Raw genomic sequence first — 17,507 nt, forward strand, 5'->3', positions numbered from 1 at the left:
AAATACGAAAGTGGTGGCAAAGATCACCTGACAGAATGGTCCACTAGAGACAAATGGCAGTAGTGAAGGAGTCTGTGTGTGTGTGTGAATGTGTGACATTTATTATGGGTGTTCTTTGTGCTGAGCATTTCACTGTTGTTTACTTAATCATCACAATTTTGTGAGATGCATGTCTTATTCCTGTTTTAACAAGGACAAAACAGGTGCACAGAGATTCAGTAACTTGGACAAGCCCTTAGTTGACAAATGGGATTTGATTCTACATCTCTCTGACTTTAAAAGTTGTGCTTTCCCATTATAAGATGTTATCTGCTATTACATTATATATTTCTATTAACTATACAATTCCACTTTTGTGCACATAGTGGTAACACGGTATATAATCAATTTGGACCAGCAGTAAAAATATGGAAAAGAGAAACGTACTATACATAAATAGTGGGGTTTAAAAAGTCAACTTTAGGGCAATAATTCCTATAGTTTGCAGTATGCTAAATGGAAGAGAGTACATGCCCACTATTGATCAAGGCATAGTATGTAGTACAAACTCACCATCACATATTTACATACATCTACATTGACATTCCCTGACAATTTAGAATGTGCCAAGCTCTGTACTCAACATTTTACATATATTGTCTCATTTAATCCTCATCCCTGTAACTGCAATGGTTTTTCTCATTTAACAGATGGAGACATTGAGGCGTGGGGAAGTAACTTCTTTCCCAGTTATACACAAGTTAAGAAGTGGGATTTGAATCTTAGTAGTCTTTTTTTTTTTTTTTTTTTTTTTTTTTTTTTTAACAGGGTCTCATTATGTCACCCGGGCAAGATCATAGCTCACTGCAGCCTTGAGCTCCTGGGCTCATATGATCTTCCTGCCTCAGCCTCCTCTTGAGTAGTTGGGACTACAGGCATGAGTCACCATGCCCAGCTAACTTTTTAATTTTTCCTTGGTAGAGAGGGAGTCTCACTATGTTGACTAGGCTGGTTTTGAACTCCTGGCCTCAAGCAAGCCTCCCACCTCGGCCTCACAAAGTTCTGGCCTTATAAGCATGAGCCACTAGCCTGGGCAACAGAGTGAGACTGTCTCTAAAGAAACAATAAAATAAATAAAGTATGGAATAATAAAATTTTAGTGAAAACTGTCTTGTTAGAAATAATGGCTATGAAAGTAAATTCGCAATGGAAGAACCTATAATTGGGAACATTTATTATGGACAAAATACGGATTGATAAAGTCATCATTAAAATATTTGAGTGGAAACTATTCCCAGTGAAAATTGTTTCAATGACATGAAAGTGAACATGGAAAAAATGGAAAATGTTTTAACCCTCCTGTATGGAAAATTGATCAATGAATTAAATTGGCTTGCTTGAGTTTATTGCAGAAAACGTTTTCCAACCAAAAATGATGTGTTGTTAGTATAGGGACCGTACAACTGGTTTAAGCCAATATGGATACATTATTATGAACTAAAGTCCTTACTTTTTTCAAGGTTTCCTTAGTTTTTACCTAATGTCTTTTTTTTGGTTCCAGGATCCCATCCAGATACATTTAGCCCCCTTGCCTCCTCAGGCTCCTTGAGGCTGTGACATTCTGTTAGACTTACCTTGTTGTCGATGACGTTGGCAGTTTTAAGGAGTACTTTGAGGTCAAGTACTTTGTAGAATGCTCCCCAATTGGGATTTGTCTGATATTTTTGTTATGATAAGACTGGGATAATGGGGTATTGGAAGGAAGACCACAGAGGTGAAGTGCTGCTCTTGTCACACCTATCAAGGGTATATACTGTCAATCTGACTTATCACTGTTGATGTTAACCTTGATCACCTGGCTGTGATAGTGTTTGTCTGGTTTCTCCACTCTAAAGTTACTCTTTTTTTTCTCTCTCTCTTTTCATCCTGTACTTTAAAAAATCTTCACATTCTCAAGGAGCTCCACGTTTTTTCCCCATCAACTTCCCTTGCATCAAGGACTTTGGGAGAGGGTTAAGAGAGCTGGGGACTGAGCCCCTGTGCTTTTAGAGTGTTTGTAACTGTGGCCTGGTTTATAATGTTTCTATAGATGTTTAATTATATTTACATCTAGAATAATATAATCTGAAAATTTGAAAGGGAAATTGATTATGCTGTGTATAGATGCTTTGATGCTTTACCAGCTCTCAGGGGAATACTAATGACACTCCTAGAAATGCATTGTGACTATCTGTTGGTATACATGTGCTTAGAATTTTTTTTTGACTGAGTTTTTTTAGAATAAGAGTAGCTTATTTGACTACTGATGACACAGAATTCTTTCAGTGCCACTTTGCCAGCCAGAAATCTCCACGGCTAGTGGCACCTCTGCCCAGGCTTTGCTTGGGCCCACTGGGCTTACTCTGCCCACTTGGCCCAGCAGACTGCGCTCAGGCTGTGCTACTGGTCTGGATCCTGCGCTTGCCTTGGCTCTGTGGTCAGCCCGCAGCTGGTCCAGGGGTGCCGTGACCAACTTCTACCTTGGATGCTGGTGTCTGGATGAGGGGGATGTGGCAGTGCCCAATAACTTGGAGATGCCAGCAACCACAGAGCCCCAAGGTGTGTTACAGCTTTTGCTTGGGGAGTCCTGAGGCCTGAGCCTCCAGAAAGTGTTACACTGTCGTTCATTTCTGCTGTCTGCAGCTTCAGTGAATGGGAGCGTGTCACAACTCATTGGGTCCTGCTGCCTGCAGCTCAGCAAATGGGGGCATGTTGGCACACAATGGTTTTTTCACTCCTATAGCTCGGCGAGCATGAGCATATGTTACAGCTCTTTTTGCACCTGCCATTCGCTCTTGTCCCATGACCAAGAGGAATGAGGTACGCGGACACTGGAGAGTGAACAAGGCAGAGAAGAATTTTATTGACTGACAGAAAAGCTCTCGATAAAGAGAGGGGACCCGAAGTGGGTAGCCCTCTGTGTGAGAGGGGGCCTGAAAGTGGATAGCCATCTGTAAGGCTGAGTCTGGGGTTTTTATGGGCTCAGAATGGGGTGTATGCTAATTGTTCCATGGGTGGGCCTGGAAAAAGCACCATTCAGTTGGCTAAAAGGCATCGAGGAAGTTCTCACTCTGGTTGTGGACTCCACCTGGAACTGGCAACTCGGTTTCAGGTTTCACTTGAAGGTCTGGTTTCACCGGAGACCTGTCCCTGTCTACCGAGGAATTTGTCTGTTTCCTACTGCTATAACTGAGATGAATACCATATTTCTTAAATATTGCTTAAAATGAAAACTGGGATGAATTATTAAATGGCTTTGTCAGATAATGCATGATTTAGAAGTACACATTTTTCTTACATAGACAAGTAAATGGAAAAGCTGTGTTTTAGAGGTTGAAAATATTAAGTACCACCATTAAAGTCAAGAAACATAAATATGGTTAACTCTAATTCCCTCTCCTGTCTTTGTTCTTATAGTATTTTATTTATAGTAGTTATACTTTGTGTTTATCCTTTTAATCATTCTGCTTTCAGCTACAGTTATCTGTGTACACTTGTATGTGTCTCTCACTAGAAAATAATGACAGTATTTTGAAGGTCAGGCTGGTGGCTTGTTTTCATATCCCCTACACGGCTACGCCTCTAGTGGGTCCTTCAAAAGTGAACTGAATTAAATTGAAGTATTTGGGGATATCTGGCTTGGAGAAGAAATTGTAGTGTGATGGCTGTTTTAACTGTTTGAAAGATGCCGTGGTGTATGGCTCCAGGGAACAGAACCTGGACTGATGGTGAAAGGTTAAGTAAGGCAGAATTTTATTCCACATAAGGAAAGCTTTGTAACAATTAAAGATATTTACAGTCATTAAGGGCTGCTTTGTAAGGCAGCATATAGATCACTTCCTGCATTCAAAATTGACACATGCAGTCAGATCCCAGGATGAAATGGTAGGTTACAATATAAAAAATAGGATTTTACATGAAAAGGTGTTGACATTTAAAACTCATCACAGGTTTCTTTAAATATCAGTGTGTGTTTGTCAATTCAAAGTATGATTTACTTTGCAAACATTCCTCTCAGGGTTTCTCACTGACACCTCTTTCCACAAAGTGAGGTACAGTTGTAGTGGACTGGACCTTGACTGAGCAGCATATCGTGCTGGAGTCTTTTATCACCAAAAGGGCTGATGTCTGCCCCAGTTTCCAGAGCAGAGTGTCTGTAAAAAACCTGCATGTGTCATATCAGCTTTCCTTCTCTTCAGCAAGTGAGGTGGAAAAAGTATGGGGAGGCCACGAAAGCCCATAGATAAATCTCCTACAGAAGCCCTGTCCCAAGAGGGCTGTGTTCCAGCCAACACTGATAAAGTGCAGAAAAATGTCTCCACATCTACCTTTTCTTTCTATATAGATATCTATCTGTTGTGCAGTATGCTTCATACTAGGAATCAGGACTCTCAGAAAGATTCTGGGAAAATTCCTGGTGGCTTATGAAACTTTGAGCAGTTGATTCCTGCATGGTTCAGTGCCTTGCAGAGTTAATGGGCTAGAAGTCTTGAGACTCCTTGGCTCACCTTCCTCCCAAGGCTTTAAAATAAGAGTTGTAGTTTGAGGGGCCCAACAAATAACACCTATCTTCATTGTGTGAGTTACTGTCAAGACAAAGAGTAAAGCGGAGTTTTAGGAATGTGATGTCTATCTGCAGGTAAGTGGACTTTATAATGACCTGTACTACAGAATTAAACAGTGGCCACCCCAAACTTCAGGCACAGGGAGGCTACTCTAGGGTAGAGCCAGAAGTATGATCCCTGTGGGTAACTTGCTCCCAGCGGGAGGAAGAAGAGGACATGCCTGGGCTGTGCATGTTTCTCCTTCTAAATTTACCCAGTAGATGAGTCACTGCATGTCCCTGTGACAAGGGCAGGGTAGAAAGTAGCCAGGAATGACACACTAATGATACGCCTCCTCACAGAAGGAATTTCCGCTAGAGAGAAAGATGCTTTCTCCTGCAGAAATAAGTTATAAAATCTAGAGAGAGCTCAGTCATTTAGTTCTACTTGCCGTACTTCAAGAGGATCTTCACTGCAGTTGTTTTGGTATGGAGTGATAGGAAAAAGTCAGGGAGGTTGTACGGTAAGCAAAATTGGAGAATGACTGCCCTTGTTCTACAAATAGAGGTAGGAAGGACTACATCATAGTCCTGTTTTCTGCTTTCCTTTTTTTGTGTGTGTGGCATTAACAAAATTGAGATATAATTTACATAACACTAAATATACAGTAGTTTTTAGTATATTCACAATGTTTTGCAGCATTACCATTAATTCCAGAACATTTCCATCACCCCTCCTTCCCTTTACCAGCTGCTTCCCATTCCCCACCTCATTCCCCCATTCCCCACTTCTTCCTCCATCCCCTGGCATGTTAAAGTGCCTCAGGGAAGTCAGGGACAAAGTCTCTGATGTCCTTGGCCTCTCCCTCAAGATTTCAAGATTGCTGCTTAGCTCCAATCATAATATTCATACCATGATTAGGAGAAAAAAGGGTACCAGTGCAATACCCCGACATGGAGAAACCACTAACTCCCAGCCAAGTCAGCCCCTGTTGAAGAGCTGTCTTGAAAGTCCCAACCAGTGATACGGCTTACATTTCATTGGCCATCCCCACTATAAGGAAGTCTGGGAAACATCAACTGGCACATTGCTGCCCCAAGTAAAATCAGAGTTCTGTTAGAAGGGAAGAATGGGAGAATGGATTTGGGGTATGCAACTAGCTGTGCCTGTCACAGTCGTTCATATATTAAATACACTTCTAAACAATTATTACATTTGATGTTTTTTTCCCAAGTAGTGACACAAAAGGACACATTACAAAAAGATTGTGATCTTGTGTCCATAACCTCTCCTTCAAAACACTGGCTCCGTAACCAAAAACAACCTAAATTTCTATTAAGTTCATATTGAATCTTTTTTTTTTTTTTTGAGACAGAGTTTCATTCTTGTTGCCCAGGCTGGAGTGCAATGGCGCGATGTGGGCTCACCGCAACCTCCGCCTACCAGGTTCAAGTGATTATCCTGCCTCAGCCTCCTGTGTAGCTGGGATTATAGGCATGTGCCACCACGCCTGGCTAATTTTTTGTATTTTTAGTAGAGACGGGGTTTCTCCATGTTGGTCAGGCTGGTCTTGAACTCCCGATCTCAGGTGATCCACCCTCCTCGGCCTCCCAAAGTGCTGGGATTACAGGTGTGAGCCACCACGCCCAGCCCATATTGAATCTTTTCTATATGATTTATTTCAGCCTTGTTTATTTCCATCTATTACTGCCTTAAGCAATGGGTGACACTTTTATTATCCACCCAGTTTGTCAAGAAGTATGAATTTAACCAAAAATTGTGCCTCAAACTTACTGTTTTAAGATTTAATAAATGCATGTGTGTATTGTTACCATTCATAGTTAAAAATGCTTTTATTTGTTTTTTTATTTGTTTGAAACAGAGTCTTGCTCTGTCACCCAGGCTAGAGTGCAGCAGTGTGATCACAGCTCACTGCAATCTCGACCTCACAGGCTCAATTGATCCTCCCCCACTCTATCCTCCCTAATAGCTGGGACTAGAGGCAAGTGCTATCATGTGCTATCTAAGACGCATGTGCTAACTAGAGGCATGTACTGTCATGCCCAGCTACGTTTTGTATTCATATTTTTTGTAGAGATGGGGTTTCACCATGTTGCCCAGGCTGGTCTTGAACTCTGGACTCAAGCAATTCATCTGCCTTGTCTTCCCAAAGTGCTGGGATTACAGGCATGAGCCACCATGCCCTGCCCCAAATGCTTTTAAATTTAAAACTTTGAAAATTTAAACCAAATTAACATATGCACATGGATTTAAAAAAAAAAACTCAAAACAGTATAGAAAAGCTGGTGATAAAAAGCAACAGCTACCATATCCTGCTCCAGTTTCCAACCCCAAATCCTGTATATTCTATAAAACAACCAATTTGACCATTTATTTTTAAAGTCTTGTGGTTTTTATGTCTTTTGTTATGTATATACTATGTGTGTTTGGGCCATAATCCTGAAAGATACAATTCCAAACGCCATAATCTTGCATGTTGAAATTCCAAAACATCAAAATCCTTAAAGTCTAAAATCCCCCAAATCACAGTTCTGAAAGATCAAAAATCCCAAAAATATAATCTGGAAAAAATCATTCAAAGAGTATTTAAAATACTAATTTTTGGCCAGGCACGGTGGTTCATACCTGTAATCCCAGCACTTTGGGAGGCCGAGGCGAGCAGATAACCAGAGGTCAGGAGTTTGAGACCAGCCTGGCCAACATGGTGAAACCCTGTCTCTACTAAAAATACAAAACTTAGCTGGAGATGGTGGCAGGCGCCTGTAATCCCAGCTACTCAGGAGGCTGAGGCAGGAGAATTGCTTGAACCTGGGAGGTGGAGGTTGCAGTGAGCCGAGATCGTGCCATTGCACTCCAGCCTGGGGAACAAGAACGAGACTATGTCTCAAAAAACAAAAACAAAACTAGTTTTTAAACATATTAAAAAGGGGATTCAGGCTGGGCACAGTGGCTCACGCCTGTAATCCCAGCACTTTGGGGGGCCGAGGTGGGCAATCACTTGAGGTCAGGCATTCAAGACCAGCCTGACCAACATGGAGAAACCTGGTTTCTACTAAAAATACAAAAATTAGCTGGGCATGGTGGTGCACGCCTATAATCCCAGCTACTCGGGAGGTTGAGGCGGAAGAATTGCTTGAACCTGGGAGAAGGAGGTTGCAGTGAGCGGAGATTGCACCACTGCACTCCAGCCTGGGCGACAGAGAGAGACTCCGACTCAAAAAAAATAAATAAATAAAAATAAAAAGGAGATTTATTTGAGAAACATTTAAAAACACAACGGAAACTTCATAGGCCAGTTTGCAGAAGAAGATAGGTAATAATAACGTATGTATTTTTGTGACTGTACACACTGAGGTGTACTGATGACAGTCACATAGGTGTAACAGTTACGAGAAGATGAACTATATTCATAAGGAAGTAGGTCTAAAAGCAAAATATATAAATGCATATCACTATAGTTGGTAATTCTGTGCAACCAGTTTTGTAACTGGTCATCTGACATACCTTGATGGACAACCTAAGTCTTTTGATGAGATTGATCAAAAATTGTGACGGATCACCACTGTATATGCAGTCACTCAAAAAGCCAGGATGTCAAGAAATTTTATCTTTCACAAATGTACGTATACAAAAAGGACATCTCTTCATTCATTAAGGAAGTTTCAACATTTTTTACATACATACACAATACTAAGTCAGCGTTGTGGTGACACACTCATAGAGTCAAATTTGCAAAAAAAAAAAAAAAAAAAGCATAAAACAAATTAGAACTCTAAAACTCTTTACAAAGTTTATGCTTCTGGCCGGGTGCAGTGGCTCACGCCTGTAATCCCAGAACTTTGGGAGGCCTAGGCGGGCGGATCACCTGAGGTCAGGAGTTTGAGACCAGCCTGCCCAACATGGTAAAACCCTGTCTCTACTAAAAAATGCAAAAAATTAGCCAGGTGTGGTGGTGTGCATGTGCCTGTAATCCCAGCTACCCGGGAGGGTGAGGCAGGAGAATAAGTTGGACCCGGGAGGTGGAGGTTGCAGTGAGCCGAGATTGTGCAACTGCACTCCAGCCTGGGTGACAAGAGCGAAACTCCGTCTCAAAAAAAAAAAAAAAATTGACATGCAAAAAAGTATATTACAGTGAAAGATTATAGGCAGTTGCATGGAGGTAGTCCATAAGAATTGGCCAACTTTTCACAATCATTATCTATATTTTGAAGTCTTCCTTCATGATGAATAGCTGCTTTTTTTTTTTTTTTTTGGACATGGCTCTTTTTGGAAAATACATTTACATCCGTATTCTACATGGCACTGCTCTTTTTGAAATTCTTCTATGATTTGATATACACTGACATAATCATCCCCTATTAAGGTTTTCCATCTTCAGTGCTATGCTTCTATGTTTTGCATACATGGAAATTCATTCTGCATGCACTCATATACAGACTACAAATTTAGTGCAGACTATACTTGTGATCAAACAACAACACCGTTATATGTCTTGTAATCCTACCATGCACATAATTATTTTTAAACCAGTCAGTAACTTTGCTGGTTTCTTCAGGCAAATGCAGATTCAATCCATTAAAAGCTGGGCTGGGCGCAGTGACTCACACCTGTAATCCCAGCACTTTGGGAGGCCAAAGTGGGTGGATCATGAGGTCAGGAGATTGAGACCATCCTGGCTAACATAGTGAAACCCCATCTCTACTAAAAACACAAAAATTACAAAAATACAAAAAATTAGCCCGGTGTGGTGGCATGCACCTGTAGTCCCAGTTACTCTAGAGGCTGAGGCCGGAGAATCGCTTGAACCTGGGAGGCGGAGGTTGCAATGAGCCGAGATCACACCATGCCACTCCACTGCAGCCTGGGCAACAGAGCGAGACTGTCTCAAAAAAAAAAAAAAAAAAAAAGCTTCTGGAATTTCATCACCTGGAAGGAAAGCCAATGCAGACAAATGACACATTTTTAAATTGAAGTTTTCATCATTGCCATATCTCATGGCCAATCGACTCATCTAAGTTTTCCACTAAATGCATCAGACTGAATGGAAAAAATAAACTTTGTTAGTGACATCTTGAAATTCACTTTCAGAAGCTTTGTTGCACCTAATCTGTCATTATGATTTGGGGATTCAGTTGAATCCATTTTCTTTTGCAACATCCACCAAATCTTCAAATAAGTGTTTTATAAAGTGCTTCCCTTTTGTCCAGTCATTCATACATAAATGAGTGGATAAGTTCTAGAATTTTGAGATCCAACAGGGGGATGAATCATATGCAATTGGCAAAAAATGGTGGGGATGGTTTTGAAAGTGCCACACATTAGCCAAACTGAAGCATGCACTGGTTTTTCTTTGTTAGATTGGGTGGTTTAATAAATAGAAGTCTATCTTCTTTGATGGACAGATCCCTGATCAAGAATAGTTCATCATTTAACGTGTTTTGTATCACTGGAGGAACCTCTGTATCAGCAAGTGCCTTTCATTCAGAAGTTCACTGAGCTTTTCAAATTCCATTTTTTTTTTGGCTGGAGGTAGTGGCTCATGCTTGTAATCCCAGTGCTTTGGGAGGCTGAGGCAGTTGGATTGAGTGAAGCCAGAAGTTTGAGACTAGCCTGAGCAGCATAGTCAGACTCCATCTCTACAAAAATTTTAAAACTATCCAGACGTGGTGGTGTGCACCTGTAGTTCTAGCTACTTGGAATGTTGAGGTGAGAGAATTGGTTAAGGCCAAGAGTTTGAGACCATAGTGAGCTATGATCACACCACTGCACTCCAGCCTGGGCAACAGAGTGAGACCCCATCTCTTTAAAAAAATTCCTTTTATTCTCCGATGAAGGTTATTTTTTTTCCTTTTCCCCCCTTTTTTAAAAAAAATTCAGTTGGCACAAAGGAAGGATTTTTTTTTTAGGGCAAGCGTGGTACTATGTGTGAAGATGCGGAAGTCATACACAATTGAATAATTTGGCAGGGGAGATTTCTTGTATCTTTTGCCTGCATTTTCACTTCTCTGAAACACTCAAAACACTGAGGGCAGATCTTACCCACTTGGTCTACTCAGACTCACAGTAATCTCTGGAAACACCCTTACAGACACACCCAAAATAATGCTTTATCAGGTTTCTAGGTATTCCTTAATCCGGTCAAATTGACACCTAAAATTAAGTCCACAAATCCAGCCCTGGTCAATTTGGCACCCATATGTGTCTCCTTAAACCATAATTCACTTCCAAATAAAGACAATAACAAGGTAATAGTTCTGTTTAACATGATGCAGCTAACATGATGCAAATATTATGCACACAACCAAACAGGTACTAATCGTATCCCCAGAATTAGGCTTTCTAGATTTTATCATTCAGAATTTTAATCTTTCAGGATTGTGATTTTCAGGATTTTAATCATTAGGGATTTTAGACTTTAGAGATTTTTAATTAAAATTTTTATTTTTCTTTCAGAAATGAAGTCTTGCTTTGTTGCCCAGGCTGATCTCGAACTCCTGGGCTCAATCAATCCTCCTGCCTCAGCCTCCCAAAATGCTGGGCTTACAGGTGTAAGTCACCACACCTGGCTGACTTTAGGGATTTTGATCTTTCAGGATTTCAACATTTAGGATTATAGCATTCAAGATTATGATTGGCACTAATACTATGTATATGCCTAATGTTATGTATATGCATAATGTCAATTTAGGCATTATTAGTAACTTCTTGCTATCTATTATAGTATATATACTATCTATTATATATAATAGATATGTACTATGGAGATATATGTGAGCATTAAGCATGTATGTCTACATATATATGTGTATTATATATTCAGTCATTATATATTATCACTGTGTAAAGTTCTACTAGAATCAACATAGAATTCTTGAGATTCTTTCCAGAACTTTGAATGCAGTAAATTGAGCATCATCACTTTGAAAGTAAACTTAAAGTCTAATAAATATGATTATATGTATATTCACAATATACATTAACAATAAATATAATATATAATCAATATGTTAATATTATTAATGATATTATATTATAAATGTATAATACATATATAATAAAGATATATAAAAATTTATATGATAAATTATTATAGGATAGTTAAATATTTCACATAAATATTTATCAGCTGGTTTTTAAAAATTCATTTATTCAACAACCATGTGCCAAGCTCTGGTCTAGGTGTTGGGGACACAGTGGTAAGTAAACAAGACAGAAAAATTCCTGTTCTTATGGAACTGACAATCTACTATAAAGATAGGAAATCAAAAAGTAAACAATGTATGTGCAAGAAACATGGGGTGCATTGCTGTTTTAGATAAATTTGTTGGGGAATATTTCTTTAAGGAGGTGACATTTGTATGGAGGGATAAATAATGGGAAGGAGCCAGTAATGAGAATATCAGGGGGAAGAGGATTCAGGCAGAAGGAATAGTCAGTACAAAGGCTAGGGGGCTTGGCATCTTTAAGGGGCCAAAGGAGGCATATCTGGCTGGAATGGGGTGAGTAAAGAGGAGAGAAGTAGGATATGAGGTAGAGGAATTAGGGGGCTGTGGCAACCAGAATACATTTCATTTCCAGTGTAGTGGGAGCCCCTGTGGGCTTTTAAGCTGGGGAAGGAAATGCTTTGATTTTTAGTTAAGAAAAGGAAACCATGTTGGGTGCTTTATGGAGAATACACTGTAAGGGGGGCAGAATTGGAAGCAGGGAGGCTAGTTAAGGAGGTTCTTGTAGTAGATGAGTTGAAAGATTATGGTAACTTTAAGTATATAAACATTATCACCCATTCTTCTAGACACAGTTGGAACAGAATTAAACTATTTTTCAGTAAATCTTCAGTAACGACTGGGGCCTAGAAATAATTTAGAAAATGAGTACAATGCATGGGTTTGAATATTTAACTATGCGTGGTATCCAGATATGCCCTGATCTCAAACCTCGGGCCTTTGAGCATGCTCTCCTATCTGTAATGTTCTACTCTCATCATACTAATTTTTGCTCATCATTGAAGTCTCAGCTCTAAGACCTGTTTTTCAACAAGCCAGCCCTAAAATCACCCAAGAGTGATTGTCTGTCATGTAGCTGTCTTATGAACTCTAATTTATATCTAGGCTTATGGATTTTACAGCTCCAAATTGTCCATTATTTTAATTGCCATATTTAATTGCCAGTTTACTTGTCCATCTTTCCCACTAGATTGTAAACTCTTAGATGCAGGGACTGTGTCTTACTCATCTCATTCTTTGCACTTAAAATTAGACAATTGAAAAATGTTTGTTAAGTCAATAATCAATGTTTAACTGTGTGCCTATTAGATTTACCTGAGTTACCTCATTCTTAGATTATGTTAGTGTGAATAAAATATTACATCAATAGATTGGAGCAGGTAATTTCCTTAACACTGCAACACATAGTGGAATATCTGTGTTTGATTCCACTTTAAAAATTTTCTCAAACCCCATCACCATAGGCTAATGGTCTTTGTCATCATCAATGAATAGATGGTGGAAGGGCTGCTCGAGATTCGTAAATGTTGAAAGGACGTTGCTCTTCACTGAGGGGCATGTTGTCAGTTTCCCTCTTTGGGCAGCTCCAGTATTTCTACTAGTAAGTGGTACAGATGGAGGGAGAAATCTACGTGACAGGCTGCCTAGGCTGTGCCAATGTCAGGTCCCTTTAGGGTGCAGGAGGGGAGAGTTGCCTTTTTATCATGCATGGTTTTTTCCATGTAATTCGTCTGACTTGTGAAAAAAAGGTGAGGCAACAATGACATGCAAATACATGAGTTATTACCAACACCAACTTGAACAGTGTGATGGAGCGTGCATCAGATCTGTGGTACCCTACGAGATTTTAATTTTCTCCTTTTGATGCAATTCTTACCTGAAATATAAACTCTTTTCAAATCTCTCCCAGACCTTTCTTTAAGGGGGAGTCAGCCATTGCTTCTAAACTTTAGTGGGCATAAGAATTGCCTGGAAAGCATGTGAAAACAGATTACTGGGCTCCACCTGTAGCATTTCTGTTCCTTGGAGGAGGGGCCCAAGAATTTTATTTTCTGAAAAAAACTCTCAGGTGCTGCTGTTTCATGGACTACTCTTTAAATAGGAAAGAGATGGACTACGTGTTTCTAATTTCTGTTTACTGCCATTGCAAGTGCTTTCTCTTTTCATAACGCTAATATTCTGGCCTGTTAGCGGTTGAGGAACTCAGAGGGGAATATACACAATACAACCTAGACCAAAACTTTCAGTCTACTTACTTGGTCAGTGTCTTACTGTGTTCTGGGATCCCCTTACCCTTATGATAAAAAGACGCACACTTTTGCCTGCACAGTGCAGCTTGTCTTCTCTCCTGTTTTATCTCTCTCCTACCTGGTCTGGTTGACCTGAAGTTTCTGGAATTTTCTGCTAATTCCTTTTATATCTACCAGCTAATGTCTTCCCCTCCATCTATATAACAGATTGCCTTTCTGATTCTCTTTCAGATCAATATGTCCCACTCATCATTCCTCCACATTGAACATCTATCTCTTGAAATATTTTTATAGCCCTATAAAAACTCCATTTGTGATACTATCCTGTCTTCATTGCTTTGCTGCTTTTTTTTCCTTCATACTTGTTGGGTACCACAGTATACTACCATCAGGAAACTATAAATCTGCTTACAAAACTGCATAAAATATCTAAGCTACTGATGCTTTCTTCTGTATCCTCTTAACCAGGCTTAACTGCTGTATGTAGAATCAATACCTTTTGGACTCTTTGGAGATTGATCCATCCGCTGTGACTTCCCAGTGTATTTTTTCCCAATGTATTATTTTTCAATTGAGATAGAATATAAATTCAGCAACATTCACCTTTTATAGTGTACAATTGAATGATTTTTTTTTTTTTTTTTTGAGACTGAGTCTCGCTCTGTTGCCCAGGCTGGAGTGCAATGGCATGATCTTGGCTCACCGAAACCTCCGCCTCCCAGGCTCAAGTGATTCTCCTGCCTCAGCCTCCCAAGTAGCTAGGATTACAGGCACCCACCATTATGCCCAGCTAATTTTTGTATTTTTCTTGAGATGGGATTTCACCATATTGGTCAGGCTGGTCTTGAACTCCTGACCTCAGGTGATCCACCCGCCTTGGCCTCCCAAAGTGCTGGGATTACAGGTGTGAGCCACCACACCCGGCCCAATGAATTTTTAACAAATGCATACAGTCATGTAATCCTCACCACAACTGAGATATAGAACAGTCCCATCACCCCGAAGTTCTTCACCCCCCATTGTAGCACTCTCCCCTCTACTCCTGGCCCTTGGCAACTGACAATCAGTTTTCTGTCCTTATAGTTTGCCTTTTCCAGAAAGTGGAGTTACACAGTATGTGTGAGTCTGGCCTCTCTTACTTAGCATAATGCATTTGTGATTCATACGTGTTGTTGCTTGTATCCCTGGTTCATTCCTTTTTATTGCTGCAGCTGCATGCTATTCCGTTGTGTGGATCTACCACAGTTGTTTATCTATTCCCAATGTTTTTTAATTGCTATATCCTCTCCTCTAAATTTAAGCACTTTTTTTTTCTGTCATTTGGCTTTTGAGTACGAAAAAGTAAATTTCCAAATTTACCATGTGTTCTAGGTAGAAATAAAAACTAAGTTGCAATAGGTACTAATAAGCTCTGAATTTCTGCACCTGATACATTCCTGATGTTTCTTTACTTAGGCCTATTTTAACCAACTCTCAAGTAGGAGCCCAGATGTGGGGCATATCTATACCAAAGAAGCCTGTTCTAATTCATCCTTTTGGATCAAGAGTTTTCCAAGTTGCAATTTGAAGGACTGACTTGAGATCTGTTATTTAGGGTCATTGCTGCAATTCCCAGGAGAGATGTAAGAAGGCCTTCCCTTTCACTAAAGGGGTCCCATACCATAAATACATATCCCTGATAATTTGGAACCAGCCTGTCTCTTGTGTCACCCCCACTCTAGGGCCCAGTTCTCTATGTATCAATATTTGGTTCTAGACCACCCAAGGTATGAAGTCCCATAGTATTCTTGACCTCTGTCTGAGATGAGACTCCTATAGTTTTGCAGGCTGGGTAAGCAAAGTATAGGATACCATCATAGTTGGCCAATATAGAACAGCTTATCATGGTCTAGATAGGGAAAACATAACCAAGACCAATGATACTTCCCAGCCTACATGGTTCAAAGTATTAACATAATGTAATCTACACTATAGAGATTCTAAGAATCATTTCCATTTCAGTTAGTTTCCATTAGTACTTAGGCTTCAGAGCTAGGGACAGTGGCTCATGCCTGGAGTCCTAGCTACTCAGGAGGCGAGGCAGGAAGATCCCTTGAGCCCAGGAGTTTGAGGGGGCAGTGAGCTACGATTGCATCACTGTATTCCAGCCTGGGTGCAGAGCAAGACCCTGTCTCTAAAATAAATAAATAAGTAAGTAAATAAATAAATAAATAAATAAAGAACTGAGGCTTCAGAAGCCAAGTTATGGTCAAGCATATCATTTCATAAGTTTCATTGGTTCTATAACTAGAAATAAAATACACAAATGTTTTATTACATTTAAATTTGTATTTAGTCCTTACATTTTAAGAAGATATCTTAAAAGTTGAGGACAGCTAAATTTTATGCCAAGTATACTCAACTGTACCTGTAATAACTATTTTGTTTTATTTAGCATTTAAAAATAGAATAAATATGTGCTTCAGCATTTTATTTATTTGGATTCAGCAGAATATTACTATTTTTCTCCAAAAAGTCTTCCTTTTCTCTTTTCATTTTAAAAGAAACTAATTTTCAAAAACACTTTCTAAATATATTCAGAGTAAACATTTTATTTATTTCATTTACTTACCACTTAATAAATACAGGGGTTCCCCCTTGTTCTTGGGTCGGGATGCAGTCCAGGAACCCCAGTGTATGCCTGAAACTGTGGATAGTGTAGAACCCTCGATATGCTAAGCATTTATCATACACTGTGGCCATAACTTTTACAATTTGAGGTATAACAGCAAAACTAACACAAATTTCTTCTTCCTTCTTCACAGTTTCATGGACAGAAGATTGTTTTTACTTTAGATCTTAGCAGCGTCAGCATACAATGTTTTTCTTTCCTTATCAAGTCGAGAACTTTCACCTTTTCACTTAGAGGAAGCACTTTATGGTTTCTCTTTGGCGCATTTGCCAGCATCACTACTCTCGTGCTTCGGGGTTCATCATTAAGTAAAATAAGGGTTACTCGAACACAAGCACTGCAGTACCACCAAGTCAGTCGATCTGATAACCAAGAGAGTGTCTACAGTGTGGATCTGCTGGACAAAGGGATAATTCATGGGTGGGACAGCATGAGATTTCACTATGCTACTCAGAAAGGCATTCAATTTAAAACTTATGAATTGTTTATTTCTGGAATTTTAAATTTAATATTGTAGGACCACAGTTGATGGAGGATTAAGTGAAACTGCAGAAGGTGAAACCAAGGATAAATGGGGACCACCTAGATAAAAGTTAAGTCAGGAAACATATAACCTTTTAAAGGAGGACAAGCTGACAATTCTTTTTATCTTTCTTTTATACAGGTGTTTGCTTCAGAATGGTAAGTCAGTACAATCTTTATTATTTTGCTATTTTTTTTCCACTGTTATTCCCAATTACAGAGATAGGGCAGTTTTCTACTTGGCGCTAGTCTACTGTTTACTCCCTGTCCTTGACAGCAAATGAAGAAATATATGTATTTCTTTGAAATTACTGATTGAGATTTTTATTAATGCTAAAAACATTGTACCCTTCTTAGTATTTACTTAACATTTTCTATATTCAAAAGTACCTCTCTTTGGGTGATTTTAATGAAACGCTTTGATTAGGTGTATTGAATACAAAGTATGGGACTTTCTACATGTTCTGGATGGAAGAAA

At 39.5% G+C, this 17,507-nt stretch overlaps 1 protein-coding gene across 6 annotated transcripts in view; it reads left to right on the plus strand.

The window, feature by feature from the left end:
- Positions 1–17,507, plus strand: part of ACYP2 (acylphosphatase 2) — a 334,188-nt gene that overhangs the window by 147,169 nt on the left and 169,512 nt on the right. For 5 of the 6 annotated variants that reach the window (NM_001320586.2, NM_001320587.2, NM_001320589.2 and 2 more), the window contains one exon: positions 17,172–17,188. In NM_001320586.2, coding sequence (NP_001307515.1) covers positions 17,172–17,188 — 17 coding nt within the window. Of the gene's footprint in view, positions 1–5,001; positions 5,130–17,171; positions 17,189–17,507 lie in introns of those variants that run through there. The other variant, NM_001320588.2, reaches the window with a different exon arrangement.

This window comes from Homo sapiens, chromosome 2, assembly GCF_000001405.40.
Source record: "Homo sapiens chromosome 2, GRCh38.p14 Primary Assembly".
Taxonomy (NCBI): domain Eukaryota; kingdom Metazoa; phylum Chordata; class Mammalia; order Primates; family Hominidae; genus Homo; species Homo sapiens.